The sequence below is a fragment of the Homo sapiens genome, chromosome 12 (assembly GCF_000001405.40).
Source record: "Homo sapiens chromosome 12, GRCh38.p14 Primary Assembly".
NCBI lineage: Eukaryota > Metazoa > Chordata > Mammalia > Primates > Hominidae > Homo > Homo sapiens.
Window position 1 is genome coordinate 44942726 of NC_000012.12, and position 23500 is coordinate 44966225.

At 38.6% G+C, this 23500-nt stretch overlaps 1 annotated feature.

The window, feature by feature from the left end:
* Nucleotides 5924–6123: an enhancer, noted in NCBI's record as "active region_6224". NCBI's record gives its function as "activates an Ori minimal core promoter by ATAC-STARR-seq in GM12878 lymphoblastoid cells {active_cell/tissue: GM12878}" and the evidence as "EXISTENCE:reporter gene assay evidence [ECO:0000049][PMID:35858748]".

The window sequence follows — 23500 nt, forward strand, 5'->3', positions numbered from 1 at the left end:
CTTCTTATAAATAATGCTTTTTCCCTTTTTCTCAACAGTTCTAATTGCCTCTTATTAAACCTATGAAATTAACTTCTCCTGATTTTAGTAATTCCAGTCATTTCAGCAAACCCAAGAGAGCCAAGGACTGAGCTCTGGAACATTCTGTTACTTAAAAGTCAATATTTAAAGATTCAAAGGTGAATCCCATCAAGGTGGAAGCCTGATTCGATTTGTCATGAGGATATGGGCTGAGACCGTGGAGACATTAAGGTTGGCTGTAAAGGGTGGTCAATAAATCGGTAGCTATAGGGGACATAAAAGCGAACGAGGGTTCTATTCTCCCTTGATCAATATTACAGCACATTACAGCAGGGAGAAGAGAGATATAGTGATTATGCAAGACAGAACAGAGATAATTATGTCAGCAAATTCTTGAGAAGGTGAAAAGAGATGGAATCCAGTGCACAAGTAAAGGGATTGTTTTTAACATGGGGACAGAGACCCTTCCTCTGTAATAGAAATATTCAGATGTGAGAGACTAGGTGGTGGGAAAATATCATTATCTTCTGATTGCTTCTGTTTGCTCAGCAAGATAAGAAGCAAAGTCATCAGCAGAGAGTGAAGAACAAGGAATACAAGTTGGAAATTTGATAAGAAAAAGTGTAACATAGTAACCTCAGACAGGGAAAAAATAATTCAGTGAGAAAATGGAAACTGTGGTTGACAACTGCAGAGAGGCACTAAGGGCCCACTTGAGACACAGTCATGAAAATTAAGAGAGATCCCTCAGCTAAGTTAGATGTTCCTCTCCAACCATGAACTGCAAGCTTGGTAAACATTTATTAAATGTTTATTAAGTGCCAAGCACTATTCTAAACACTTCATTTTTATATTACTTTATATTAATACGTTTGAGCCCGCAACAACTCCATTAGATAGGTATACATGAGGAAACTGAGGCACAGAGCAGTGAAGAAACTTACTCAAGCCACATGGCTAGTAAATGTTCGACTCAGGATTCAAGGAGCGTGGGTCCAGAACCCACAACCTTAATCACTAAACTATGTGACATTTCTGTGAGTGCTTGGGATTAACCAGTATTGATGTTCTGCCATTTGAGTAAGGCAGAGAGTGAGGCAAAAAAGCTGAGGGCATTTACAAGTAATTAAACAATGGAATCTAAGCTGGACAAGGAGGAAGTGAGGATAAAAGAGGGTAGTGGAAACTAAAAATTGTAATAGTCAATGGATTAGAAGCCCCAGAGTAGTCCACAATTGTCATAGAGGCAGTTAGCTGAAAACAGAAGAAGGGGTGTTTGGTGACTGGATGTTAGAAGATGAGATTTTGAGTATGGTACAGTTATTCACAACAACATAGTATAAAGTTTTACCATGATGATTGGCAGCTAAGGTCAGGGGGTGAGATGAGGCATGAAAAGATTGTAATGGAAAAGGTCACAAGGCCATGCGTGGTGGCTCACCCCTGTAATCCCAAAAATCTGGGAGGCCAAGGCGGGCCCATCACCTGAGGTCAGAAGTTCGAGACCAACCTGGCCAAATGGTAAAACCCCACCCCTACTAAAAATACAAAAAATTAGACAGGCATGGTGGCCCACACCTGTAATCCCAGCTACTTGGGAGGCTGAGGCAGGAGAATCACTTGAACCTGGGAGACGGGGGTGTCAGTGAGCCAAGGTCACACCACTGCACTCCAGCCTGGGCAACAGAGTGAGACCCCATCAAAAAAAAAAAAAAAAAAGAAATAAAGAAAAGAAAAGGTCAAGAGACTTAAAACAAAATCCATTGAATGTACTTTATATATATATGTATATATACCAAAGGTAGTCATGGAAAGAAAGAAAGAAGTCAGGTGTTAACATCTTCACCAAATGAGGAGCTTTGTAGATTACTACAGGATGGAAGGATAAGCATAGTCCAGCGGCTTTGCTCCAAATAGATATTCCAACTCTTCCCAATTTACAGATAACTTTCTTGGTTTTAACACTGAAAGTCCCACATTCTGGGCCTCCATGAGCTAGGGATTTTGAAAGATGAAGAAAAATGAGACATTTTCTGGATATGGCAATGAAAAGATTATACCTGCTCTATCTCCAGGCCTTGTGAGATATGGATGTTATGAATTTTAACTCTAAAAAACTGTCATGCGGTAGGTACTACTATTATATTTGTAATTCCTCTTCTCAGAATAGAATGCTTTGTTAACATTAGCTGATTAGTTTGAAGCAAATATTTCCAAAACATTTTCCTCACATTTTGTGCTACCTTGATTCCTAAAGGGTAATGATTATGTTTCTTGTCTCGCTAAATCTAATATGCTCTAAAAGCTATAGCTAATTCTGTTTTACCAATAAGTATTGTAAATACTTGAATGCACCCAATAGGAAAAAATCACTCAGGTAAGAAAGTCTTTTCTCACAGAAAAAGTGTTGGCACTCGGGAAAGGATAGGCGTGGTACTGCAGTATCATCCTATAATGAGAAATATTCTGCCATAGAAGGGTCCACATCTTCCACTCCGCTAATTCAAAGACTTCTGGGTCTAGAGTATGGAGGGAGAATCACAGTATTTCATAGGCAGCAGTAACCTTAAAGATACTTTAGAAGTTATTTAGGAGTTATGGAAACCATCTTATTTGATTTAAACCCTTGTGGAAACTCTTCACTCAGATTATGCATTAAAAGTAGTTTCTGTATATTTCTATATTCACATGGCATTAAATGCTGTATGACACTTTTCCATTTCTTAAGCTGGACATTTACAAAATGTGTATCATATTAAGTGATTTCAAAATAACACATGCAAAGAAAAAGGCTGAAAAAATACACAAAAGATTCACTAAAAAATTATCCAGATGGTGCAATGAGACCATCAGGCTAGTCTAAGCCATCTTCCAGGTCTTTCCTGCCTTGTAACCACACCCTTCTCTCTCCTTGCTCTTATCACTAAACTTCTCGAAAGCAAAGTCTATATTTTTTTAACTCCAAATCACATCTTGGATTGAACCTGACTTCAGCCCACACTCTCTTAGGAGGTTACCAAATGACTATTTGCATAGTCATTTATGAGAAAATCCCAATTTCCTATCCTTTTATTATTTTCACCATATTCAGAATGAACTACGTAACTAAATGTGTATGATTTTTACACATGTGTTAGTCTCGCACAAGTTTAAAATCCCTGTCATTTATGAGAAAATCCCAATTTCCTATCCTTTTATTATTTTCACCATATTCAGAATGAACTACGTAACTAAATGTGTATGATTTTTACACATGTGTTAGTCTCGCACAAGTTTATAATCCAGAAAAAAACTACTTAATATGCCATATATCCTAAGCTCAGGTTTAAATGCCCAGCTCTCTAAACTCAGTTTCCATCCCTCCTTGGAATTTCAGTAACGTTTCAAACCATTTGCTATCTCTTCTCCCTGAAATTATCTAACTCCTGTCCACTTTAAAATAATATCTCTTATCTTACTCTCCTATTAAGTTCTTTTACTTTCTACCTCCAAAATTAGTTCATTATTTTTCATATAATTCTTGAACTTTTAGCAACACAATGACACCTCTCTTTTTAATATATTCTTGCCCTGAATAGTTTTCCTGAATGTTCTTTCTTTGGTCACTTAGTGGCTTCTTTTCTTCCTCCAGGCTCCAAAGGCCAGTAATCCCCAAGAACCTACACTTGCACTTTCCCTCCCTTCTTTCTACAAGGCTGACTTTTATTAGCCAAGTGTCTATTCTCATGATTTCAAGAGCCATTCCTAAACAGAATGTACCTCAAAACCTAACATTTTGAGAATTCTTTCCTGCAGTTCCAACCCATTGCTAAAGGCATCTCCACCTGGATGCCTTACAGTCAGTCACCTCACACTCCAACAAAAATCACACTCATCTTCCTAACCAAAACCAGTTATTCTCCTGATTTCTCTAATTCTGGTTAAAGAAGCCACCAATCTCATGGTCACCCAAACTAAAAACCTCTGTTTTTAATCTACTCTAGTCAGTTAGAATGGTTAACTTTTTCTATCTCCACCCTAGGTCTGATAATCATCCCCTCTTCTTCACGCCTACAATTATATTATAATGGCTTCTTAATTGCCTCTTTGCCTCTGGTTTTTCCACCATCCAGTCTGTCCAGGATATTACTGCCAAATAAATATTCTAAAACCCAGTATTATGACATTTCTTATTCAGTAACCTTTAGCAGCCTCCTACCATATAGCAAACTAAAGTCAAACTACCTAACCTGGCAACCAAACCCCTCTAAGCTGCTTGTATTTCTCTGGTAATACTTATCTTACAATAGAGTCAAACCTCTTAGATTCTAAAATCAGAAACGAGAAAATCATACATAATCAAAATTACCCTGGAAAAGTCCTTCGACAGGCACTCCCCTGGAGACCGCAAGTTGGTTTGGCACAGCCAGTTTTTCCTCCAGCATTGGAACAGATTCCTGTTTCTTTGGTTGAGCACCAGGTGAAGTAGTTGGCTTGCTTTTAGGGTACACTTTACATGAAAAATGCATATATGTATATCTTTAAAAACTAGAATCACTCAGCTCAGTGGATATACTTGCACTTCAGAACAGAGACAAACTGAGGAAACCACAGGTTCGCATCTCCATTGTCATGCTCACTCCAGGCAATCATTAAAAGGAATGATGGGCAGTATTGTCAACATTATTTAAATTGGTAATTTTCTCATTTTTATTAGATTGTTAGTTTGCTTTTGTTTTGCTGAGATAATGGGATTTCAACTGTTAAGTCTTCATTAAAAGTTATTTAGGAACTTGCCTTTACTCATCCCCCAGAACTTTGGGGATAGAAATCATGTCATATTCCTATTTTCATTTTATACAGCACTTGACACTGTACTGAGTTACCCTGTAAGTATTTTCTCAACAAATCAAATTTGCTTTGATTTGTTTATAATTAAGTGGTGTTCAATAGAATATGTCTGATGAAAGGGTTATTTCCTATTTTATTAAAATCTGGATCTTTTCCCATAAAGACATATTGACAAAGTCTTTTCTATTGCAATTATTTTAAGGCAACAACTATTTTTAAAATATGTTGCTCTATTTTAAATATAATAATAAAACAATATTGATAAACTCCAGTAGAGGCTATGAAATAGATATATACTTGGTATCTATATTTAATAACCAAAATATACATGTTAAAATATTTGTATATTTCAATACAGATGCCACATATTTATATTTTAAAATAATTAATCTACAGTTGTTATTTAAATTAATAACAAGGGGCCGGGCACAGTGGCTCATGCCTATAATCCCAGCACTTTGGGATGCTGAAGTGGGTGGATCACCCGAGGTCAGGAGTTCGAGAGCAGACTAGCCAACATGGTGAAACCTCATCTCTACTAAAAATACAAAAATTAGCCAGGCATGGTGGCGGCTGCCTGTAATCTCGGCTACTCGGGAGGCTGAGGCAGGAGAATCACTTGAACCCTGGAGGCAGAGGCTGCAGTGAACTGATATCACGCCACTGCACTCCAGCCTGGGAGACAGAGTGAGACTCCGTTTCAAAAAAAATAATAATTAATAAAATAAAAAAATATGAATAACAAGGAAATAACTGCTGTAATATGTCATCATGATTATATTAAATCACGAAAAAAGCTGATAGCATTCCTGCATTAGACTGCATAGGGTTTGCCAATGTTATTTAAATATACCGTATAAATAGAACAAAAAAATAGATCCCAGAAAAATTACAAATACAGTATCCCACGTAACTTAAGATTGTTACAAGAGTTATTTAAATATTTACCTTGGGGAAATATAAGACATCCAGAGCTGCTTCTGGGAGATAATTTAAATAAGCCACCCTGTGCATTTTGAGGGACGTACAAAAATAAAGTTTGGACTTGCTGCCACATCCTCTAGATACCTGTTATATTCTTCCTGAAATTTAGTGACAGAATCTACCCTGTAGTATCCAACACTGTACAACTGGCAGGTTTGAGAAGTCATCTTGAGTTGGGGTGGTGCTAATGGACATTCCCCAGGAGCACCTAAAGGGAAGCTATGAAGGCGACTCTAGGTGGTGTCACACACCCTTGCTTCCCTGGGCAACATCCGCGGGGCTTTGAGAATGTTCCTGGGAACGTTGATCTCCGAGTGAAGGTTGGAGCTTCCTAGTGACCACTAGGGGGATCGGGAGCACCGTTGCGGCAGGCTGCCCTCTGGAGGCCGTGAAAGGAAAGGGCTCCAGGGATGTTCTGAGGTTTACAGGCTGCACACACCAAACAGCAGTGGATGCTGACGCTAAAAGACTATTAATGGGCCAGGAGTGGCGGCTCACGCCTGTAATCCCAGCACTTTGGAAGGCCGAGGCGGATGGATCACGAGGTCAACAGATCGAGACCATCCCGGCCCACATGGTGAAACCCCGTCTCTACTAAAAATACAAAAATTAGCTGAGCATGGTGGCATGTGCCTTTAGTCCCAGCTACTTGGGAGGCTGAGGCAGGACAATCACTTGAACTCGGGAGGCAGAGGTTGCAGTGAGCCGAGCCGAGATCCTGTCACTGCACTCCAGCCTGGCGACAGAACGAGACTCCGTTGTCAAAAAACAAACAACAACAACAAAAAAAACTATTAATGTAGGGAACAGACCTCAGATATTTGGAGCCAGATGAAGATGCCATCGGGGTTACTGATGCCTGGTATGCTGATAACCTTTCTACCTAGATTTCTAGTTTTTCACGCATGTCCAAAGAACTAGGTCTCCCTGAAGAAGGAAAGCTACATATCAGAATGAGGAAACAGAATATATACAGGCTTTGGGATCAGACCAACTTGTATTCAAATCCAATTTGCCATTTATTAGCATGAGAGGATGATTAAGGCCATATATTTAATCCCTGTAAGCTTATGTTTCCTCATCTGGAAAATGCAAAGTACTTGGTATCAGAAGGTACTTTAAAATTAGAATGGATTCAAAAGAGGAAGTTGTACTTTTAGTTTTTAACCTAATACAATTGGAATATCTGGGACTCTGGGTGGTATCATTCATTACTGTCCCCAGCTACCTTTAGTAAAATCTAACATCTCTGTCAATAGCTACACAGACTCCACAGATCAATAACAGCCTTATGTAGTGAAACATGATGCCCTAGAAGATTCTGCTGCTTCCAAACCTGCTATATTTTGTATTGGACATAAATATTAATTGTTCTCATGAACATCAGCCTATAGGGAGGCCTATAGCCTCCCGATCTAACCCCCTACCAGGTGTAGCCAGTATATCTAAATGGAGCTCTCACCTGCCTGTCTGGTACCTTTGGTTCCTCAAGGTGTTGAGAGCCTCATCCAGAATTACAGTTGCCAGAATCAGCAGACTGAGGAGCAGATAGAGTTGGAGGGGCCAGCCTACTTAACTAACCCCTGTATCCCTTTCCCTTGGTATTGGTCTTTGTTGGTAGTATTGGTCCTGCTCCTCAGGCTCCATCTGTTAAACATCTCAACAGCATATACATACAGCTCCCTATTTAATTATTCTAATCCCACCTGATGCTGCCCCCAAGAAGTTTCTTCTGTCCCACGTCATTGCATTAGTCCCTTGAACTGACTTCATCCTGTATTTAAACTATTACACCCTCAGCTTGGGTTTTAAACTTTAGGTCTCATTACAGTACATTTTCCCCAGGCCTCACTCACAAATATTACAACTTAGCCTCAGATTGTTCCTCAAAATCTCTCAAAAGAGCTGATAGTTATGACTGCACCTTTAATCAGAATATATAAGGGCTAGAGTTATTGTCTGGAGTCACTGAACTAGCACTCAGATTCCTAACAGAGGATGTGGCTATAGAAATAGGGTCAGTTAATTCCATTAGTTAGTTTCTGTTAATTAACACTGTCATCAAAGAAAAAAACCCATAAATACTCAGAAATGACTCTAAAAAGAGTTCTTCATCCTCTAATTTAAAAAGTAGTTAATGCACAATTTTTAACTAATGTGGTGGCTTTTGTCTAGTCTCTCCGTAGGAGAACACATACTTAGAGTTGTGCACTTGGGGTTTTTTTCCTGTAATAACGATGGATTTCAGCTGATCCATCTGTTTTCTCCTCTGGAATGCCTCATAACCAAGAGTATGTATCTCCAGATAGCAAGAAAGGGGGAATTATTTAGTGGCCCAAGAATTGCAAGGAATACTAAACGGTTCATAACAGAATTCAGACCTTATTAGAAATGTGTCGGAGGAGGAGCCAAGATGGCCGAATAGGAACAGCTCCGGTCTACAGCTCCCAGCGTGAGCGACGCAGAAGACGGGTGATTTCTGCATTTCCATCTGAGGTACCGGGTTCATCTCACTAGGGAGTGCCAGACAGTGGGCACAGGCCAGTGGGTGCACGCACCGTGCGCGAGCCCAAGCAGGGCGAGGCATTGCCTCACCTGGGAAGCGCAAGGGGTCAGGGAGTTCCCTTTCCGAGTCAAAGAAAGGGGTGACAGACAGCATCTGGAAAATCGGGTCACTCCCACCCGAATATTGCGCTTTTCAGACCGGCTTAAAAAACTGCGCACCACGAGACTATATCCCACACCTGGCTCGGAGGGTCCTACGCCCACGGAGTCTCGCTGATTGCTAGCACAGCAGTCTGAGATCAAACTGCAAGGCGGCAGCGAGGCTGGGGGAGGGGCGCCCGCCATTGCCCAGGCTTGCTTAGGTAAACGAAGCAGCCAGGAAGCTCGAACTGGGTGGAGCCCACCATAGCTCAAGGAGGCCTGCCTGCCTCTGTAGGCTCCACCTCTGGGGGCAGGGCACAGACAAACAAAAAGACAGCAGTAACCTCTGCAGACTGAAATGTCCCTGTCTGACAGCTTTGAAGAGAGCAGTGGTTCTCCCAGCACGCAGCTGGAGATCTGAGAACAGGCAGACTGCCTCAAGTGGGTCCCTGACCCCTGACCCCCGAGCAGCCTAACTGGGAGGCACCCCCCAGCAGGGGCACACTGACACCTCACATGGCAGGGTATTCCAACAGACCTGCAGCTGAGGGTCCTGTCTGTTAGAAGGAAAACTAACAAACAGAAAGGACATCCACACCGAAAACCCATCTGTACATCACCATCATCAAAGACCAAAAGTAGATAAAACCACAAAGATGGGGAAAAAACAGAACAGAAAAACTGGAAACTCTAAAACACAGAGCGCCTCTCCTCCTCCAAAGGAACGCAGTTCCTCACCAGCAACGGAACAAAGCTGGATGGAGAATGACTTTGACGAGCTGAGAGAAGAAGGCTTCAGACGATCAAATTACTCTGAGCTATGGGAGGACATTCAAACCAAATGCAAAGAAGTTGAAAACTTTGAAAAAAATTTAGAAGAATGTATAACTAGAATAACCAATACAGAGAAGTGCTTAAAGGAGCTGATGGAGCTGAAAACCAAGGCTCGAGAACTACGTGAAGAATGCGGAAGCCTCAGGAGCTGATGCGATCAACTGGAAGAAAGGGTATCAGCAATGGAAGATGAAATGAATGAAATGAAGCGAGAAGGGAAGTTTAGAGAAAAAAGAATAAAAAGAAATGAGCAAAGCCTCCAAGAAATATGGGACTATGTGAAAAGACCAAATCTACGTCTGATTGGTGTACCTGAAAGTGACAGGGAGAATGGAACCAAGTTGGAAAACACTCTGCAGGATATTATCCAGGAGAACTTCCCCAATCTAGCAAGGCAGGCCAACGTTCAGATTCAGGAAATACAGAGAACGCCACAAAGATACTCCTCGAGAAGAGCAACTCCAAGACACATAATTGTCAGATTCACCAAAGTTGAAATGAAGGAAAAAATGTTAAGGGCAGCCAGAGAGAAAGGTCGGGTTACCCACAAAGGGAAGCCCATCAGACTAACAGCGGATCTCTCGGCAGAAACCCTACAAGCCAGAAGAGAGTGGGGGCCAATATTCAACATTCTTAAAGAAAAGAATTTTCAACCCAGAATTTCATATCCAGCCAAACTAAGCTTCATAAGTGAAGGAGAAATAAAAACCTTTACAGACAAGCAAATGCTGAGAGATTTTGTCACCACCAGGCCTGCCCTAAAAGAGCTCCTGAAGGAAGCGCTAAACATGGAAAGGAACAACCGGTACCAGCCGCTGCAAAATCATGCCAAAATGTAAAGACCATCGAGACTAGGAAGAAACTGCATCAACTAACGAGCAAAATCACCAGCTAACACCATAATGACAGGATCAAATTCACACATAACAATATTAACTTTAAATGTAAATGGACTAAATGCTCCAGTTAAAAGACACAGACTGGCAAGTTGGATAAAGAGTCAAGACCCATCAGTGTGCTGTATTCAGGAAACCCATCTCACGGGCAGAGACACACATAGGCTCAAAATAAAAGGATGGAGGAAGATCTACCAAGCAAATGGAAAACAAAAAAAGGCAGGGGTTGCAATCCTAGTCTCTGATAAAACAGACTTTAAACCAACAAAGATCAAAAGAGACAAAGAAGGCCATTACATAATGGTAAAGGGATCAATTCAACAAGAGGAGCTAACTATCCTAAATATATATGCACCCAATACAGGAGCACCCAGATTCATAAAGCAAGTCCTGAGTGACCTACAAAGAGACTTAGACTCCCACACATTAATAATGGGAGACTTTAACACCCCACTGTCAACATTAGACAGATCAACGAGACAGAAAGTCAACAAGGATACCCAGGAATTGAACTCAGCTCTGCACCAAGCGGACCTAATAGACGTCTACAGAACTCTCCACCCCAAATCAACAGAATATACATTTTTTTCAGCACCACACCACACCTATTCCAAAATTGACAACATACTTGGAAGTAAAGCTCTCCTCAGCAAATGTAAAAGAACAGAAATTATAACAAACTATCTCTCAGACCACAGTGCAATCAAACTAGAACTCAGGATTAAGAATCTCACTCAAAACCGCTCAACTACATGGAAACTAAACAACCTGCTCCTGAATGACTACTGGGTACATAACGAAATGAAGGCAGAAATAAAGATGTTCTTTGAAACCAACGAGAACAAAGACACAACATACCAGAATCTCTGGGACACATTCAAAGCAGTGTGTAGAGGGAAATTTATAGCACTAAATGCCCACAAGAGAAAGCAGGAAAGATCCAAAATTGACACCCTAACATCACAATTAAAAGAACTAGAAAAGCAAGGGCAAACACATTCAAAAGCTAGCAGAAGGCAAGAAATAACTAAAATCAGAGCAGAACTGAAGGAAATAGAGACACAAAAAACCCTTCAAAAAATCAATGAATCCAGGAGCTGGTTTTTTGAAAGGATCAACAAAATTGATAGACTGCTAGCAAGAGTAATAAAGAAAAAAAGAGAGAAGAATCAAATAGACACAATAAAAAATGATAAAGGGGATATCACCACCGATCCCACAGAAATACAAACTACCATCAGAGAATACTACAAACACCTCTATGCAAATAAACTAGAAAATCTAGAAGAAATGGATAAATTCCTCGACACATACACTCTCCCAAGACTAAACCAGGAAGAAGTTGAATCTCTGAATAGACCAATAACAGGAGCTGAAATTGTGGCAATAATCAATAGTTTACCAACCAAAAACAGTCCAGGACCAGATGGATTCACAGCCGAATTCTACCAGAGGTACAAGGAGGAACTGGTACCATTCCTTCTGAAACTATTCCAATCAATAGAAAAAGAGGGAATCCTCCCTAACTCATTTTATGAGGCCAGCATCATTCTGATACCAAAGCCAGGCAGAGACACAACCAAAAAAGAGAATTTTAGACCAATATCCTTGATGAACATTGATGCAAAAATCCTCAATAAAATACTGGCAAACTGAATCCAGCAGCACATCAAAAAGCTTATCCACCATGATCAAGTGGGCTTCATCCCTGGGATGCAAGGCTGGTTCAATATACGCAAATCAATAAATGTAATCCAGCATATAAACAGAGCCAAAGACAAAAACCACATGATTATCTCAATAGATGCAGAAAAAGCCTTTGACAAAATTCAACAACCCTTCATGCTAAAAACTCTCAATAAATTAGGTATTGATGGGACGTATTTCAAAATAATAAGAGCTATCTATGACACACCCACAGCCAATATCATACTGAATGGGCAAAAACTGGAAGTATTCCCTTTGAAAACTGGCACAAGACAGGGATGCCCTCTCTCACCACTCCTATTCAACATAGTGTTGGAAGTTCTGGCCAGGGCAATTAGGCAGGAGAAGGAAATAAAGGGCATTCAATTAGGAAAAGAGGAAGTCAAATTGTCCCTGTTTGCAGACGACATGATTGTATATCTAGAAAACCCCATTGTCTCAGCCCAAAATCTCCTTAAGCTGATAAGCAACTTCAGCAAAGTCTCAGGATACAAAATCAATGTACAAAAATCACAAGCATTCTCATACACCAACAACATACAAACAGAGAGCCAAATCATGAGTGAACTCCCATTCACAATTGCTTCAAAGAGAATAAAATACCTAGGAATCCAACTTACAAGGGATGTGAAGGACCTCTTCAAGGAGAACTACAAACCACTGCTCAAGGAAATAAAAGAGGATACAAACAAATGGAAGAACATTCCATGCTCATGGGTAGGAAGAATCAATATCGTGAAAATGGCCATGCTGTCCAAGGTAATTTACAGATTCAATGCCATCCCCATCAAGCTACCAATGACTTTCTTCACAGAATTGGAAAAAACTACTTTAAAGTTCATATGGAACCAAAAAAGAGCCCGCATCGCCAAGTCAATCCTAAGCCAAAAGAACAAAGCTGGAGGCATCACACTACCTGACTTCAAACTATGCTACAAGGCTACAGTAACCAAAACAGCATGGTACTGGTACCAAAGCAGAGATATAGATCAATGGAACAGAACAGAGCCCTCAGAAATAACGCCACATATCTACAACTATCTGATCTTTGACAAACTTGAGAAAATCAAGCAATGGGGAAAGGATTCCCTATTTAATAAATGGTGCTGGGAAAACTGGCTAGCCATATGTAGAAAGCTGAAACTGGATCCCTTCCTTACACCTTACACAAAAATCAATTCAAGATGGATTAAAGATTTAAACGTTAGACCTAAAACCATAAAAACCCTAGAAGATAACCTAGGCATTACCATTCAGGACATAGGCATGGGCAAGGACTTTATGTCCAAAACACCAAAAGCAATGGCAACAAAAGCCAAAATTGACAAATGGGATCTAATTAAACTAAAGAGCTTCTGCACAGCAAAAGAAACTACCGTCAGAGTGAACAGGCAACCTACAACATGGAAGAAAATTTTCGCAACCTACTCATCTGACAAAGGGCTAATATCCAGAATCTACAATGAACTCAAACAAATTTACAAGAAAAAAACAAACAACCCCATCAAAAAGTGGGCGAAGGACATGAACAGACACTTCTCAAAAGAAGACATTTATGCAGCCAAAAAACACATGAAAAAATGCTCATCATCACTGGCCATCAGAGAAATACAAATCAAAACCACTATGAGATATCATCTCACACCAGTTAGAATGGCAATCGTTAAAAAGTCAGGAAACAACAGGTGCTGGAGAGGATGTGGAGAAATAGGAACACTTTTACACTGTTGGTGGGACTGTAAACTAGTTCAACCATTGTGGAAGTCAGTGTGGCGATTCCTCAGGGATCTAGAACTAGAAATACCATTTGACCCAGCCATCCCATTACTGGGTATATACCCAAATGACTATAAATCATGCTGCTATAAAGACACATGCACACGTATGTTTATTGTGGCATTATTCACAATAGCAAAGACTTGGAACCAACCCAAATGTCCAACAATGATAGACTGGATTAAGAAAATGTGGCACATATACACCATGGAATACTATGCAGCCATAAAAAATGATGAGTTCATGTCCTTTGTAGGGACATGGATGAAATTGGAAATCATCATTCTCAGTAAACTATCGCAAGAACAAAAAACCAAACACCGCATATTCTCACTCATAGGTGGGAATTGAACAATGAGATCACATGGACACAGGAAGGGGAATATCACACTCTGGGGACTGTGGTGGGTTGGGGGGAGCGGGGAGGGATAGCATTGGGAGGTATACCTAATGCTAGATGACGAGTTAGTGGGTGCAGCGCACCAGCATGGCACATGTATACATATGTAACTAACCTGCACAATGTGCACATGTACCCTAAAACTTTAAGTATAATAAAAAAAAAAAAAGAAATGTGTCATAATAGATGGATACTGATATTCATCTTAAAGTATTATAGAGTACCTCTCATTTCCTTTCCAGTCTCAGCATTCTCCCTTTTCTATTATTACTGATTTATAAATTAATGAATTGCTTAAGAAGTAAAAATAATTTATTTGTCTGGTTGTCTGTCAATTTTGCTATGATAAAAAATGTCCAAAAACTGTACTTGTACATCTGTCCCACAAAAATAAACACTGTATCTATCCATATCTGGAATAATAGAAGATTTGCCACACCAGTCAATGATGAAAATCTTCCTTTGAATTAAACATCAAAGTATTAGATGCTAGAAAAGGCAACAACAGATTTTTTTCATATCCACATTATAAAACTGCAACTCTGAAAAATATTTTTCTAAGAGTTCAATGCTTTCTAAAGTCGCTGTCATCAAGTTTTGACATAAAGTATTTCAGGCACCCAATTTAGAAAACAGGCAGCTATTAAATTTCTAAAATGTCTATTGCCATAGACGTTTTAATAACAGAATAACGTTAGTTTCTTTTTGCCTCCTTTTCAAAAAATTATGCAATTCAATGTGTGTTTATTCATTTTTACAAATATATTTCCCCACTCTGTCAAAAAGAAGAGCATAATTCAATTGAAGTGCATCAGAACTGTGCTTCTTTGTACCGTATTATATGACAAGCTGTAAATAAAATGAACTTTTTATGAATACATTATGTATGGGATATGTTCCCAGGGTTGCATATTAAGAGTATTTTAATGACATACATTTTTCTAGGTAACCAAAAGCATGTTGCTATTTCAATAACCCCTATGCTGAATATAAAGCAATTTTAAAGTGTCCTAGCACAGACTTAGTAGTCCCAGCACCTGAAATATTGACATGGTAAGGTTGGTTTAGAAAATTATTCCTTTGGGAAATTATGTCAGCCACCATGGACTTTAAAAAATATATACTTTAAGTATTTAATACCCTAGGAATATAATTTCTATTTTAATGTTAAATTTCTTTAAATGATGAGAATTACTGCATACCCTTTAGATATAAATAAGCATATATAGTTATTATTTTATTAAGTTATATAAATGATTTGGAAACATTAATAGAAACAAAAATTTTATAATTTAGCAAGGAAAATATCTAATCAAAAGTCACACGTAATGTGGAAATGCTCTAAATATAATATTATGTTGAAAATCTGGGTACAGGCTTCATATAAAGCATAATTCGGTTCCCATAAAAAGAAAAAATATATTCTTAGAAAAGCCTGGAAGCAATCCAATAAAGTGCTAACAGTAGCTCTTTGGGGATACATGTTCTTTGTATCTTCCTGTATTTTTTTCATTCTCTACAATAAATGTTAATTTTATCTTTATTAAACTAAGATAAACTAATTTTATCTTTATTAAACTCTATTAAACTCCTTCATTAAACTAAGGCCTATATACCACCTACTATATACCAGGCGCTGCTCTAGGCACTGGCGTACAGCAGGAAAAAACACTAAGTGCCTGCCCTCAGGGAGCTATGTTCTTCAAGTGTGTATGGGGAGAGGGGGACGACGGACAACAACAAGATAAACATGTAAATAAACAGAAAGTTAGATAATGACAAGTGCTATGAAGCAGGGAAAGCAATGCAATGAGATAGAGAAATATAGAGACTAGAGAAGTGTAATTTTATATAGGGTGGTCGGGAAGATATTACTGAGAAGGCAACGTCTAGAGAGGGAGAGCCATGCAGGAAGTAAAAATACAAATCTCACAGGTATCTGGGGGAAGATGGATCTAGGCAGAAGAAACAGCAAGTGAGAAGCTGGCATGCCGAAGTGGGCTTGGCGTGTTTGAGGGAGGAGGGGAGCTGGAGCTCAATGAGTGAGGAGAAAAGGGTTAGATGAGGAGTTCTGATAGGCAGCCCACAGTCAAGGCTTGAGACACTGACAAAGTCTCACCTTAGGGAGACCATTGCAAGCCTTTAAGAAGGAGAACACCATGACTTAACTGAGTTGTAAAGGGGTGCCCTGGATGGCTTCTGTGACCAGAATAGACTGTGGGGGACAGAGGCGGAAGGTTGGCAGACAAGTCAGTAGTCATTGCAGGGACTCAGAGAGAGCGAAAAGTGGTTTGGATTAGAATGGCACTGATGGCAGGGAGAGAATTGGTCAGATACCAAAATGTACTTTACAACAAGGTGAATGAGTGAGGGGTTTGAAAATTGTTAATATTAAGCTACGTATTTTCATAATTTCTTCCTTCCTTCATATTTCCTTCTAATGTCTAAGGTCTAATGTCTAATAACTAAAAATCTCAGTTTTTCTATCTTGTGGTCTTAGTTTTAATAAAATGTATTTGATGTTTAACACAGAAATAATTAATAAAATTTTACTTGAATCATGTATAGTCAAACCTCAGCCAGGTACAGCTTGTTTTCCACACTATATATTATTTCTAGTTTTTTGAAGAATTTGTGGCATGCACCAGTGAACACTCAATAGACTATTTTTTTTCTAAAATACAATAGAATAATCCTTCAAACATTCTAGGCTTCTAATGTACTTCATCTTAATTAAAGTACCACCTCTGTTTTTAGACAGCTAATTTGAGGGAATAGCCATGCTGACCTAGAACAGGTTCTATTAATAGAATGACTTAAATCATTAGTTCTTCAAAAACTGATTCCGAAGGATATTGAAGAAAATGTCATCTTGGTAAAAAGACTATGTTTTTAATGTCAGTAGCAAAACATGGAAGAAAAGTTTCCAAAAGCTAAGAGCTCAGGATTTAAAGCAGACAGCCTTGAGTCTTTGTGTTTTAGTCACTGGTCAGCTGCTACCAGCTATGTGATCTTAAGTCCATTGCTTAAGCTCTCTCAGTCTTAGTTTTCTCAATTGTAAAATTTGGCAACAGTACGTTTCTCAAAATCATTATGAATCTTAAGTCAAACAACTCACTTGGTACAGATGGAGCACATAGTAAGAATTCAATAATAGTCGGCTATTATTAAAATTAGCAATATTACCTTTCAGATGTGAAGGGTGGATGGTGATGCCATCATTTTCCTAAAGTTTCCTGCATAGTCAGTGCTTCCCTTCAGCTCAAGACTTTATACTCTAGCCAAATTTCCTCCTTACCATCTCCAAAATGTGACAGCCCCTGATTATCATGCCCAGGTGATTTCTTCCAAAGCAGAAAATTTATGTAGGAGGCATCCTTTGAAAGTAGATTTTATGGCCTGGCCAATTTGGAAGAAGCAAACTATCATGCAGAGATTCACACAGTGAACTTTTATCCAAGAAGGAAAATGAGAATTCAACAGAAAAGTTAAAGGAAACTTCAGATACTGAGAAAGAGAAGATAGGCAGGCAGCCCACATGGCAGAGTCCAGCTGAAAATTGTGAGTGAACCCCCAATACGGGAGACAGGGAGTGAGTATCCTTCTGCAATCCCCTTCTCACTGGGGAACCATAAAATCCATATCATGGGAGAGCAACTTGACCTTCCCAAGCCCTGGATCCTACTTGGGGAAGAGCCAAGAGGCTGTGAGAAGGAATGGCACTACATTTCCCAGATGTAGTCACTGATAGGAGGATGCCATTCTCAATTCTAGCTCCAGCAAGCTGTGTGGGATCCTTCAACCTAGCAGTAGCATCAGCCATTAGCATTAGAAAGTCTCAGGCCGAGGGTTGGAAATTTGAGTCTCAAGCAGGGGAGGGGCCCCCACAACCAGTACTAATAAACAAGTGTAGCGTGAGCTCCAGCCATGGGTGCCAGAATTGGGCTTCTCCCCTTCACAGGACCGAGCACAAGAAGATTTGCCTGAGAGGTATGGTTTTGGCCTATATAGCAAGTTCTATGGCCAGAAGCAGCTTTGTGGACTAAAAGCAGTCTATGTGTGACTTTACTAAGTGTCTAAACCTGCTCCCTAGGTTGGGACAGGACAGTGAGCTGTGCTAGGTCTGGAGCATGAGTCGGGGGCAAGTATCACTCCTGCTTACCTTACCTTGGCATGGGGGCCACCCCTCACTTCCTGTGCCGGGACATCATTGCAGCAGTGGTTGCTCTGCTCCTTGACCGGGCATTTCTCCAGGGGACTGAGGAATGCCCCTGGACTCTCATCCAGACCAGTGCTTGCACCTGCCATTAGGGGGCCCAAGTGCAGACTTGCTCAGTCCAGCTTCACCCAGCTTCACACCCCTCTCCAAGGCTTGAGTGTTCCACAGCCCAGCCTATTGCCTGAGACATCCAAGTACTTCTCTTGATTAACAAAGATCAATCATAAACCCTAGTACTACTGCAGTAGGACAAGAAATCAGAAGAATACAAAGAAATCAGAAAATCAATTTGGGACATAAATGAGATAATTATCAAAGAGATGGATATAGATATATTTTTTAAAAAAATTAAAAAAAATAGAACTTCTGGAAATAAAAAAAATTATTGAAAGAATTGCAAACTACATTTGAAAGCTTTGCCAATAGATTACTTGAAGCAGAATAAAGAATTTCAGAATGTGAAGACAAGATTTTGAATTAATCCAGACAAAAATAAAGAAAAAAGAATAAACAAATCCTTTGAGAAGTATGAGACTACATAAGGCAACTGAACTTACAAGTCATTGGTATTAACCTACAGAAAAGGAAAAACAAAAAAGTTTAAAAAACCTATTTTAAAAAATATTGATGAAAATTTCCCTAGTCTAGCAAGATACTTAGACATTCAGATACAGGAGACCCACTGATCACCAGGAAAATACATTGCAAAACAGATTTAAGCACACCATATAGTCATCAGAGTGTCCAAAATCAATGTGAAGAAAATAATTCTAAAATCAGCAAGAGAAAAGTGTCCAGTCACCATGAAGGAAACCCCATCACTAACAGTGGACTTCTCAGAAGAAACCTTACAATCCATAAGCGAATGGAATGCTATTTTCAAAGTGCTAAGTGAAGAAGAAAAAAAAAAACTTCTAACAATAAATTTTATTTCCAGCTAGAATAAGCTTCATAAATGAAGGAGAAATAAAGTCACTCCCAGACAAACAAATGCTAAGACAATTCAGCACTGCTAGACTGGCCCTGCAAGAAATGCTAAACGTGGAAACAAAAGGTATTTACTATCATGAAAACACACACAAGTATAAAACTCACAGGACTTGTAAAACAATTACACAAAGGAGGAAGAGAAAGGAATCAAAGGGCAACACAGCAGAACTTCATGAAACTACAAAGACAAACACAGGGGAAAAAACAGATATTATGATAAAGGGATCAATTCAAAAACGGGTTATAACAATCCTAAAAAAATATGCATTCAAGACCAGAGCACCCAAATCCATGAAACAAACATTACTAGACCTAAAGAAAGAGATGGACAGCAATACAATAACAGTAGGGAATTCTAACATCCCATTTACAGCACTAGACAGATCACTGAGACATGAAATTAACAAAGAAATACTGGGCTCAGGCTGGGTGCTGCGGCTCACACCTGTAATCCCAGTACTTTGGGAGGTCGAGGTGGGCGGATCACCTGAGGTCAGGAGTTCGAGACCAGCCTGGACAACATGGTGAAACCCCATCTCTACTAAAAAAAAAAAAAAAAAAAAAAAAAAATTAGCTGGGCATGTTGGTGGGCACCTGTGATCCCAGCTACTTGGTACTTGGGAGGCTGAGACAGGAGAATCACTTGAACCTGGGAGGCAGAGGTTGCAGTGAGCTGAGATCACACCACTGCATTCCAGCCTGGGCAACAGAGCAAGACTCCTTCTCAAAAAAAAGAAATAAATAAAAAGAAAAGAAAAGAAAAAAAAAGAACTGGGCTTATAGTTCAACTTTAGACCAAATGGACCTAACAGAAATTTATAAAATGTTCTACTCCAAACCCACAAAGTGTACTTTCTTTTCATCAGCATATTGAACATTCTTCAAGGTAGACCACATGTTAAGCCACAAAACAAGTCTTAATGAATTTTTTAAAATTTAAATCATATAAAGTATCTTTTCAGGACACAAAGGAATAAAATTAGAAATCAATACCAAGTGAAATGCTGGAAAATATGCAAATACATGGAAATTGAACAACATATGCTCCTGAACGACCTTTGGGTAAATAATAATATTAAGACCAAAATCAAAAATTTTTTTGAAATAAATGAAAATGGAAACACAACATATCAAAACCTCTGGGATACTGGCAAAAATTTCATGATGAATATGCCAAAAGTAATTGCAACAAAAACAAAAATTGACAAATAGGTCCTAATTAAACTAAAGAGCTTATGCACAGCAAAAGAAACTATCAACAGAGTAAACAGACAACCTACAGAATGGGAGAAAATATTTGCAAACTATGCATCTTACAAAGGTCAAATATCCAGAATCTATAAGGAACTTAAATTAACAAGCAATAAAGAAACAACTCCATTAAAAATTGGGTAAACAACATGAACAGATATTTTTCAAAAATGCAGTCAGCAAGCATATTAAAAATTCTCAACATCACTAATCATTGGAGAAATGCAAATAAAAACCACAACGAGATACCATCTCACACCAGTTAGAATGGCTATTATTAAAAAGTCAAAAAATAACAAATGCTGGTGAGGTTGTGGAGAAAAGGGAACGTGTATACACTGGTGTTGAGAATGTAAATTAGTTCAGCCATTGTGGAAAGAAATGTGGCTATTTCTCAAAGAACCTTAAACAGAAGTACCATTTGACCCAGCAATCCCATTAATAGGTATATACCCAAAGGAATGTAAATCATTCTACCATGAAGACACATGCACGTGTATGTTCATTGCAGCACTTTTCACAATAACAAAGATATGGAATCAACCTAAATGCCCATCAGTAGTACTGGATAAAGAATATGTAGTACATTTACAACATAGAATATTGTGCAACCATATAAAGGATAAGATTATGTCCTTTGCAACAATGTGAATGGAGCTGGAGGCCACAATCACAAACAAACTAATGCAAGAACAGAAAAACAAATAGTGCATGTTCTTACTTATAAGTGGGAGCCAAACATTGAGTATAAATGTACACAAAGAAGGATACAACAGATACCAGGGCCTACTTGAGGGTAGAAGGTGGAAGAACGGGGGAGGACTGATAAACTACCTACTGGGTGCTATGCTTATTACCTGGGTGACAAAATTATCTGTACACCAAACTCCTGTGACATGCAATTTACCAGTATAACAAACCTGCAGGTATGTGCCCCTGACCCTAAAATAAAAGTTAAAAGAAAAACCTCTGGGATATATCAAAAGTAGTTCTAAGAGGAACATGTACAGCGTTAAATACCTACATTAAAAAAAGAAAAGCTCACAGATTAACGAAATTATACCTCAAGGACAAAAAAAAAAAAAAAAAAAAAAAAGAACAGACCAAACCCAAAGCTAGCAGAAGAAAAGAAATAATAAAGATTGGAACAAAATTAAATAAATTTGAAACCAAAGAAATAATATGACAGGCTGATGAAAATTTGATTATTTGGAAAAAAAAAATAAAATTAATTAACATTTATACTACAGATACAAAAGATCATCAGAGACTATTGTGAATGACTATATGCTCACAAACTAGAAAACCTAGAGGAAATGGATAAAGGAAACATATAACCCCCAACATTGACCCAGAAAGAAATAGAAATCCTGAACCGACCAATGACAAGTAGTGAGATTGAATCAGTAAAATAATAATAATAAATCTCCCAACAACAGCAACAAAAAGCATATGACCAGATGGATTTACAGTTGAATTGTAATAACATACAAAGAAAACTGATACCAATCATAGTGAAGCTGTTTCAACAAACTGAGGAGGAGGGAATCCTCCTTAACTTAGTCTATGAAGCCGTTATCACCCTGATATGAAAACCAGATAAAAGCACAACAAAAAAGAATACAACAGACCAATATTCCCCATGAACATACATGCAAAAATCCTCAACAAAATACTAGCACCCTGAAACCAATGGCACATCCAAAAGATAATATAACATAATCAAGTGGGTTTCATTTCAGAAATGCAAGATGGGATCGAAATATGCAGATCAATATATGTGATTCTTCACATAGAAAGAATTAAGGACAAAAACCATACGATCATCCCAATAGATGTAGAAAAGCATTTGATAAAATTCAGCATTCCTTCATGATAAAAACTCTCAACAAACTATTCATAGAAGAAGCATACCTTAACATAATAAAGGCCATATATGACAAACGCATGGCGAACATCATCCTGAATGGGGAAAAAGTTGTCCCTAAGAACTGGAACAAGTCAAGGATGCCCACTCTCACAGCTCCTATTCAACATAGTACTGAAAGTCCTAGCCACAGCAAGCAGGCATGAAAAAGAAATAAAAGGCATTTAAATTGGAAAAGAGGAAGTCAAATTATCTCTGTTGGTTACTGACATGATCTTATATCTAGAAAACCCTAAAGACTCCACCAAGAAATTATGAGATTTGATAAATGAATTCAGTAGCATTTCAGGATACAAGATCAAAGTATAAAAATCTAGCATTTCTACACACCAATAATGCCCAAGCTGAGAAACAGATTAAGAAGGCAATCCAATTTACAACAGCTACCAAAAAAAAAAAAAAAAAAAAAAAAAACAATAAAACCCTAGGAATATATTTAACCCAGGAGGTGAAAGATCTCTACAAGAAAAACTACAAAACACTGATGAAAGAAATTGTATATGACACAAACAAATGGAAAAAATATTTTATACTCACATAAAAAATGGAAAGATATTCCATGTTCATGTATTGGAAGAATCAATATTGTTAAAATGTCCACACTACCCAAAGCAATCTACAGATTCAATGCAATCCCTATCAAAATACCAATGACATTCTTCACAGAAATAGAAAAAAAAATCCTAAGATGTATGTGAACTACAAAAGACCCAGAATAGCCAAAGCTATCCTAAGCAAAAAGAACAAAACTGGAGAAATCACATTACCTGACTTCAAATTATACCACAAAGCTACAGTAACCAAAACAGCATGGTACTGACATAAAACAGACACATCAACCAATGGAACAGAACACAGAAGCCAGAATCAAATCCACACACCTACAGTGAACTCATTTTCAACAGAGGTGTCAAGAACGTAAACTGGGAAAATGTCTCTTCAATTCATGGTGCTAAGAAAACTGGATATCCATGTGGAAAAGAATAAAACTAGACCCCTATCTCTAGCCATATACAAAA